The 8,305-nt window shown below is 36.7% G+C and overlaps 2 annotated features.

The window, feature by feature from the left end:
• Nucleotides 6,003–6,751: an enhancer, noted in NCBI's record as "H3K27ac hESC enhancer chr13:56010133-56010881 (GRCh37/hg19 assembly coordinates)". NCBI's record gives its function as "activates a minimal SCP1, AML or CMV promoter by ChIP-STARR-seq in primed H9 embryonic stem cells {active_cell/tissue: H9 hESC(primed)}" and the evidence as "EXISTENCE:reporter gene assay evidence [ECO:0000049][PMID:30033119]".
• Nucleotides 7,086–7,663: an enhancer, noted in NCBI's record as "OCT4-NANOG hESC enhancer chr13:56011216-56011793 (GRCh37/hg19 assembly coordinates)". NCBI's record gives its function as "activates a minimal SCP1, AML or CMV promoter by ChIP-STARR-seq in primed H9 embryonic stem cells {active_cell/tissue: H9 hESC(primed)}" and the evidence as "EXISTENCE:reporter gene assay evidence [ECO:0000049][PMID:30033119]".

Consider the following 8,305-nt stretch of genomic DNA (forward strand, 5'->3'; position numbering starts at 1 on the left):
AAGAATTGTGAATTGAAAATGGTTTTACTATATTAAAGAAATAATATGTGCATGAACTTATTAATTTAACTTGAACATTCATATAAAATATAGAAAAATATAACCTAAAATATCTAAAATGAAGGTAGATTCAAATGTAAAGCCAGATTGATGAAGCAAGGAAAGTACAGAGTAGTTTGGAAGTAACATTATGACAATCAGGCTCAAACTTTTTATTTTAGAATTAATGATCCTGGGGTCCAAAGAAGTAAAATAGCTTGTCTTAAATAACACAGCTGATTATTTGAATAACCAGTAATAGAACCAGTATTCTGAAGTATTTCTAAAATTATTTCTATTAAAAATGTACGTTCTATACTGCAACTTCCAAGAAAATGAGAAATGGAGAATTATATCTATCTTTAACAACTGGCGTCAAATCAATATAACTGATTTGTGGTCAGGACATGTCTCCACAGTTTTTTGTGTTGCTTTAGTTTGAGGCAGGACTTGGCATGAGGAAGTAACCCAGATAAAAGACTATGTGGCAGATTTTCAATGCCTTACAAATACATCGTTGCTGGAGTACTTAATTCATACCATGGAATAGGACCAGAAATTGCATCACTTCATTTTCACCAGAAGCTTCCAAACTTAAATCATTTAGATACTTTTTTCACCTCCTTGGGTAACTATTTCTAAAGAAGATATCTCATAATATATGTAAGCAGGAAAGGAGGATTCAAATTACCAAAAGATGATTTAGAAAAGATTGAGAAAAAATTATCAAAAATTAGGAAATGGTGGGTATAAAATGATGCTGAAGGGAAACCCCAAATCACTGTCATCAGAGGATGCAGAGGCAATCAATACATGTATCCTTTGGTGACACAAATTCCTACCTTCTTCTATCACTTGCTCCTTTTCCATATCAAAATACAACTGTTTATTGTGAATGCTCACCTTCCATTCCTTCCTCATCACTGTTATTTTTGTATTTAATTTTTAATATCCTAGGCTTTCAAGCACCTGCTTCTGCTTTTTAAAAAGAAGAGTGACAAGGCAAAAATTAAAAAAAAATAGCAAACATTCTGCCATTACTACTCATCTCTAATCTTCGGTTTCAGCTGTTTTCACACTCCAAATGCTAGCAAAATGAGTGCAAGCATAGGGAAATGGACAGGAAAATATAATCATCCATGGAGATATTTAGCAAGTAAAGAAGACTATTGAAGTAGAGAAAGAGTCAACTCTTACACTCTCTATTTTCCTAACCCCTCTTCCTACACACTACAGACTTAAAATGTAATACTAATCGGGACATATAGGTGGATGTCTAGCCCTTAGTGGTTTAGTGGATGACCAGAGATGTATGGAAGATAAGAGTATAAGGAAAGAACATGTCCTACAATGGTTTTTCCTGCTTAGAGAGATGTGTGGGGACACAGGGCAAGAGGAATAGTTACTTCTTTTTTTTTTTTTTTTTTGATGGAGTCTCGCTCTGTCGCCCAGGCTGGAGTGCAGTGGTGCGATCTCGGCTCACTGCAACCTCCGCCTCCCAGGTTCAAGTTATTCCACTGCCTCAGCCTCCCGAGTAGCTGAGACTACAGGCTTGCGCCACCACGCTTAGCTAATTTTTTTTTTTTTGTATTTTCAGTAGAGACGGGGTTTCACCATGTTAGCTAGGATGGTCTCGATCTCCTGACCTTGTGATCCTCACCCCTTGGCCTCCCAAAGTGCTGGGATAACAGGCGTGAGCCACTGCACCTGGCCAGGAATGGTCACTTGTAATTATAGGTTTCTTCTTTTGACACGTGTCCTACAAAATTTATGTAAAACTATGGCGATTTTTGAGAGTTTTTGGAGAAAGGGTGAGGTGTTCTAGTAGGATTAGAGGGGCCCACATTCAATTCTATTTTAGTTAGAAATTGATACCAAAGACATGAGGTAATCTAAAATATATAAAAATCTATTTATTCTTTCTTATTGGGTGGTCATTTAATCTCCATTTTTTTCTATAAGAAGCAATGCTGAAATAAGATATGTTTTCATGTACAAACATGGCAAAATTTTTAAGATACATACTTGAAAAAATTTTTAGATTATGGGACATAAGCATCTATGAATATTCTATAAACTATCATGCTGTCTTTATAACTGCTGTATCAATTTGTATAATCTATGAACAGTGCAAGAGAATTCTTATTTCTCCAATATTTACCAAAATTTTTAATATCCCACTTTTGCCATTCTGAGGGATAGGGAAGAGTGTCCTGTAGGTTTAACTTATATTTCCATAATTAATAATAGGACTTATCATCTTCTACAAGTTTATTTTCTTGTGACTTGCATATTAATTTTCTTTGAACTTTTTTCTACATTATTTTTTATTTTGGACATACATTTTGGTGTTAAATGCACAACAAAAATGATTTTCCTGTTTTTAGTTTGCATTTTCATCTTGTTCATGAAGGCTTTTGACAGATGGAATAATTTTACATTTAATATTGTTAAATACATCAATGTTTCCTTGAAGTTTTGTGTTTGTGTGTGTGTTTGTGTGTGTGTATGAATGTTCACTTAAGAATATCTTCTCTTCCTGAAAATTATATAAATATTACCATTTATTTTATTCTATTTAGGATGTGCTTTCAATTTTTTAGTAGACTTGGAATTTATGCTGTGCATGGCAGTATATACTCATTTAACTTACTATTTTGTCATGTAAACAATTATCTCAGTAACATTCTTTAATGGTCCACCATTTTCTAATCTAACCAACTATTAACAAAATCAAGTATGTCTTGCATTAGCTTTGGGATAATTTTTGCTCCTTTGCATTTTGTCTGCAAATATGTCGCCTTTTCTTTATTCATACCACTAGATGTTCTTCAGGTAAAAATTATAGATGAGGTGGTTTTGACTTACTGAAATATGAAAAAAGTAACTCTCTAATTTGATTTAAAATATTAGAGAGCCTTCAAGACAGTAAGGAATTGCTGGCCCAAGATCCTAGAAGGGAGGAAAACGATGAAAGTATGATTCATCAGTGTGCATCATTTCCACTTGAAATAATAGTCATTGCCTAAAGCAGTGTTTGAGAATCGGAGAATCTGAAAAGCATTTTCAAAGAATTGCAGATTAGGAGGCTATATTTTACGTAAATTTCCAACAAAAAGAAAGATCTGTGATAAAGGCCCTAGCATAAATTGGGTTCCTAAGTGTCTATATCTAAAAAATAAAAGCAAACAAGAAATATATCTCATAAGGACTGAAGCTTAGGTTTAAATCAACTCTATAATTGATTAATTATATGAGGACTGATAAGTATCTAAGCACAAGTGGCCACAAAATGTGTGAAAATATAACTTCTCTGAAGAAAAGTAATATCATTCAGAGTTTTAAAATATCTTTGTAATATTTAATGGCCAAACATATAAAGAGGCATTTGCCTAAAATAAAATAAACCATTGAAATACACATAAGGATAAGCTAGACAATGTTGTCATCAGGCACATCTTTTAAAAAGAGTATAAAATGATGATAAAAAGATTTATAAAATGGTGATTTAGGGAAGAAAATTTGAAAGTATATTAAAATGATAGAACTGAGTACTGCAATAAATGAAATTAAAAACTCAAAAATTGGATGTAGGAGCATAATGCCTAAGCTGAAAATAATTCAATGGGAATTGGAACACAGGTCAAAAGAATATATTCAGACTGAAGCAGAGAAAAAGCAGCAAGAAAATAAAGACAAAAATAAGAGACAAAGGCAAATGGTGAGAAATATCACACATATATTTCTGCAGTTTCAGAAAGAGAAAAAAATTGGCACAGTAATACTGAAAGAGATAATGGCTTAGAATTTTCAAGATCTTTTAAAATTATCAATGTTATAAATACAAAGAAAACTGCTAGACATACACATCAGAGAAAATCTGAAACAAAGTAACAACTTTAACAAGAGCCAAAGACATATTATTTTCAACTGTCTCCTAATAAAAAATAGAAGCCAGAAAATAATGGAAGGATATGTTGAAAGTGCTACAAAATAAATAACTTGCAATCAACAATTCTTTACCTTAAGCCTAAGAAAACATATCAAAGATAAAATTCATATTTTTAAGGAAATAAACAAAAACGACAAAGAAAAAAAGCCTAAAAATATTTGTCCATACCAGCACAGACTAAAGGAAATAATAAAAAGGGTTTTCTCTATAGGCAAAAAATAATATCAGATGGAAGGTTGATAGGCAGGAAAAAATGAAAAGCCAAAGGAAGTGTAAATATCTGGATTGAATGAACACTAAATGAAACTAACTTTATAAAATAATAAAACGGTATTGGAGAAGTCTAAAGTGCACATCACACTAAAATAAGCAACAACGACATATAGATTGACAGATGATAAAAGATCTTAAGTAGTTTGCATTTCCAGTAAGTGGTAAAGAATTAATATTAAATCAAATGTCAAGATTTATGTTGCAATCTCTAGGTAACAAGTAATAGAAAGTGAAGTATGTATAACAAACATTCCAACTGAAGAAGAAAAAAATGCTTATTCAATTCTTAAAACCAACAATACTGAGAAACAAAAGTGGTGAAATAAATAGTAGAAGCATGATAGATTAAATCATAAGTATTTAAATTATAACAGTATGTGAGCTAAATAATTCACTTGAAGAAAAAGAGCTCAGCTTTAAAGATGGCCAACCAGATGCAGCCAAGAGGAAGATCTGCCACTGAGAGACGGAAACATCCGGAAGACTGGGGCACACGAAGCAGATCTTCAGAGAAAAGGCCTTTAGAGTGGATGGAGGGAGGATGCAGACGCTGGGCTGAAGGAGGAGGAAATTGGAAAACCTGCAAGGGGTTTCCAAGAACTAGGGCTTATTTCTGGCCCCCTGCAACTCCTCAGAAAGGGGTAAGTTGAACAGACAAGGAGTGACCAGCTCCTGTCACGGACCTCCAGAAACTGGGCAGGAGAAAAGCTCGTGACCCTCACGGACACTTAAGCTGGCAGGGAGGGTGACTTAGAGAGGTGGTAGGAGCAGGACTCCAGCCCATGAGGAGCCCAGTGAGTTTGATGCGGGAACATCTCTAGTGGAGGACGGCCAGGGACACTCATCTCTCAAGGCTCACCCTGCTTCTCTACAAGACTTTGCCATAGAGTTACTGTCCGACTTGGGTGAAACAGGGCAGTCTTGCCCATAAGGCAGTGCCAGTCTGATCCGAGCTCCCGCCTGTCTGCTCTCCTCTCCCAGGGCCCCAGCCTGGACATGACCATTGACAGCACAGAATCGGACACCCAACCAGGGTGATTTCTGAGGGCTCTCATCATAGCTCCTTGATATGGTTTGTCTATGTCGCCACCCAAATCTCATCTTGACTTGTAGCTCCGATAATTCCCAAGTGTTGTGGGAGGGACTCAGTGGGAGATAATTGAATCATGAGGCGGTTTCCCGCATACTGTTTTCGTGGTAGTGAATAAGTCTCAAGAGATCTGATAGTTTTATAAGGGGAAACCCCCTTCACTTGGCTCTCATTCTCTCTCTTGCCTGCTGCGATGTAAGCTGTGCATTTCGTCTTCCGCCATAATTGTGGGGACTCCCCAGCCACGTGAAACTGTGAGTCCATTAAACCTCTTTTTCTTTATAAATTACCCAGTCTTGGGCATGTCTTTATCAGCAGCATGAAAACGGACTAATACACTCCTTCAATGGCAGGCCATGCCTGACCATTGAAGAGCTCCAAAAGAGTGGCTCTTGCCAATGTGCCGCAGCCTGCCTGCACCCTCCTGGCCGCACAGCTTTCCCGTTGCTGGCACAAACTCACCTGTGGCCACCCCCTTACCGCTTTACAGGAGCAGGCATGTAGAGGCAGACCTCATTTTCGCTCTGCCATTGCACATTTGCATGTACACCCCACTGCTGCTGCTGGTGTGAAGCAACATGCTGCCCCCCCACACCACTAATGTGTGGGCACTCAGTCGCACTGTCATTGCTGGTATGAACACATGCATAGACGGTGGTGACTCTGCCACCCTCTGCACACCACAATTGCCACTGTTGTGAACGAGCTCACAGACGCCAGTGGCCCTATCCCCACAGCTGATGGTGTGAATATGAGCACAGACGCTGGTAACCCTGTCCTCTGTGCTGGTGCAAGTACATGTAGAAATGCTATAGCCCCACTTCTGACAGTACCTCACCCAGCTGATGTGTACTCTCCACCATGCTACCATGGCTGCTGGCACACAGGAACAAGAATGCATCCCACTGCTGCCACCCTGATGAAGTGCTTTGGTGGGCACCATCTATGGCAGTGTTGTGTTCAGCAGATTGGGAACACCTCAGCCACTCCACTGCAGCTGGCTCCTGTCCTCAAGGGGCCAGAGAACAAAGCCAGGGGCCCTGTACCAGCCCTGCAGAGTTAGACCACACAAAACAGGAGTGCTGAGCTGAGAATTGGCCCCTAAAAATCTTTCATAAATAAACCCAATTAATTGAACCCACCTTATACCACAATCAAACCCCATAAAAGAAAATAAAAGCAAAATAAATAAATAAAACCAAAAGACAGCAACTTCAAAGATTAAAGGGACAACGGCCCACACAGATGAGAAAGAACTAGTTAAAAAGTTTGGCAACTCTAAAAGCCAAAGTGTCTTCTTACCTCCAAACAGCCTCACTAGTTCCCAAGTAATGGTTCTTAACCAAGCTGAAATGGCTGAAATGACAGAAATTGAATTCAGAATATACATAGAAATGAAGATCGTCAACATCCACCAGAAAGTCGGAACCCAATCCAAGGAATCCACGGAATACAATAAAGTGATACAGGAGATTAAAGACTAAATGGCCATATTAAGAAAGAACAAAACTGGTCTGATACAGCTGAAAAGCTATGAGAATTTCATGATACAGTTGTAACTATTAACAGCAGAATTGACCAAGCCGAGGGAAGACTCTCAGAGCTCAAAGATGGGTTCTTCAAAATAACTCAGTCAGACAAAATAAAGACAAACAACAAAGAAGAATGAACAAAACCTTTGAGAAATATGGAATTATGTAAAACTACCAAATCTCCATCTCATTGCCACCCTTGAAAGGGAAGGTGAGACAACAAGCAACTTAAAAATTATGCGTGGGGAATCATCTATAAAAATTTTTCCAGTCTCACTGGGGAGGCCAACATTCAAATTCAGGAAATGCAGGGAACCCCTATGAGATACTATACACAAAGACTATCCCCAAGACATATAATCATCAGATTCTCCAAGGTTGAAATGAAAGAAAAAAATGTTAAAGGCAGCTAGAGAAGGGACAGGTCACCTAAAAAGGGAACCCCATCAGGCTAACAATAGACCTTTCAACAGAAACCACAGGAGCCAGAAAAGACTGGGGCCTGTATTCAGCTTTCATAAAGAAAAGAAATTCCAATCCAGAATTCCACATCCAGTCAAACTAAGTTTCACAGGCAAAGGAGAAATAAGACCCTTTATAGACAAGCAAATACAAAGAGAATTTATAACCACCAGACCCGCATTACAGGAGGTCCTTAACAGGTGCTAAATATGGAAAAGGAAGACCATTACCAGCCACCACAAAAACAAGTGTACATACCTACATACATTATAAAGCACTAGAAAGCCACAATGCAATTACATTTGCATAATAATAAGCTAATGACATGATGACAAGATCAAATCTGCACATACCAATATTAACCTTGAATACAAATGGGCTAAAATAAAATTAATAAATCTATATGTTCATTTTTATAAAGGTCAATTATATACATATACCACAGCCAAGACAAATCAAGAAAAGTGGGAGTAGGTGCAAACAAATTAGAAAAGGATGCTATATAAAATGTTTTGCCAAAAATATATGAGAAAATTTAGATGAAATGGACAAAATTCAAGAAAAAACAACTTTTCCAAACAAAATCTGTGTATTCCTGTATTTATTAAAATATTAAATTCAAAATTACAAATATTCCTCTGAAAACATCATTAATCAAAGATAACTTCCCTGCTGAAATCTACCTTTAAGAAAGTAATTATGTAAACTCTACAGAAACTCTTCCAGAGAAGAGAAAGTGAACACTAATATATTCAATTCTTATTTGAGTTCAGTATAAACTTGATACCATTAATATAGCCCAATATTTCTTTTACCCATATATACAAAATTATTGATAAAATATTAGCAAATGAAATCCCCATCATTGATACAATGTTGAATAGAAATGTGAATACAAGTATCCTTTTCTCATTTCCAATTTCAAGGTAACTTTTTCATTATTTCATTTTTAACAAT

Source organism: Homo sapiens, chromosome 13, assembly GCF_000001405.40.
Source record: "Homo sapiens chromosome 13, GRCh38.p14 Primary Assembly".
NCBI lineage: Eukaryota > Metazoa > Chordata > Mammalia > Primates > Hominidae > Homo > Homo sapiens.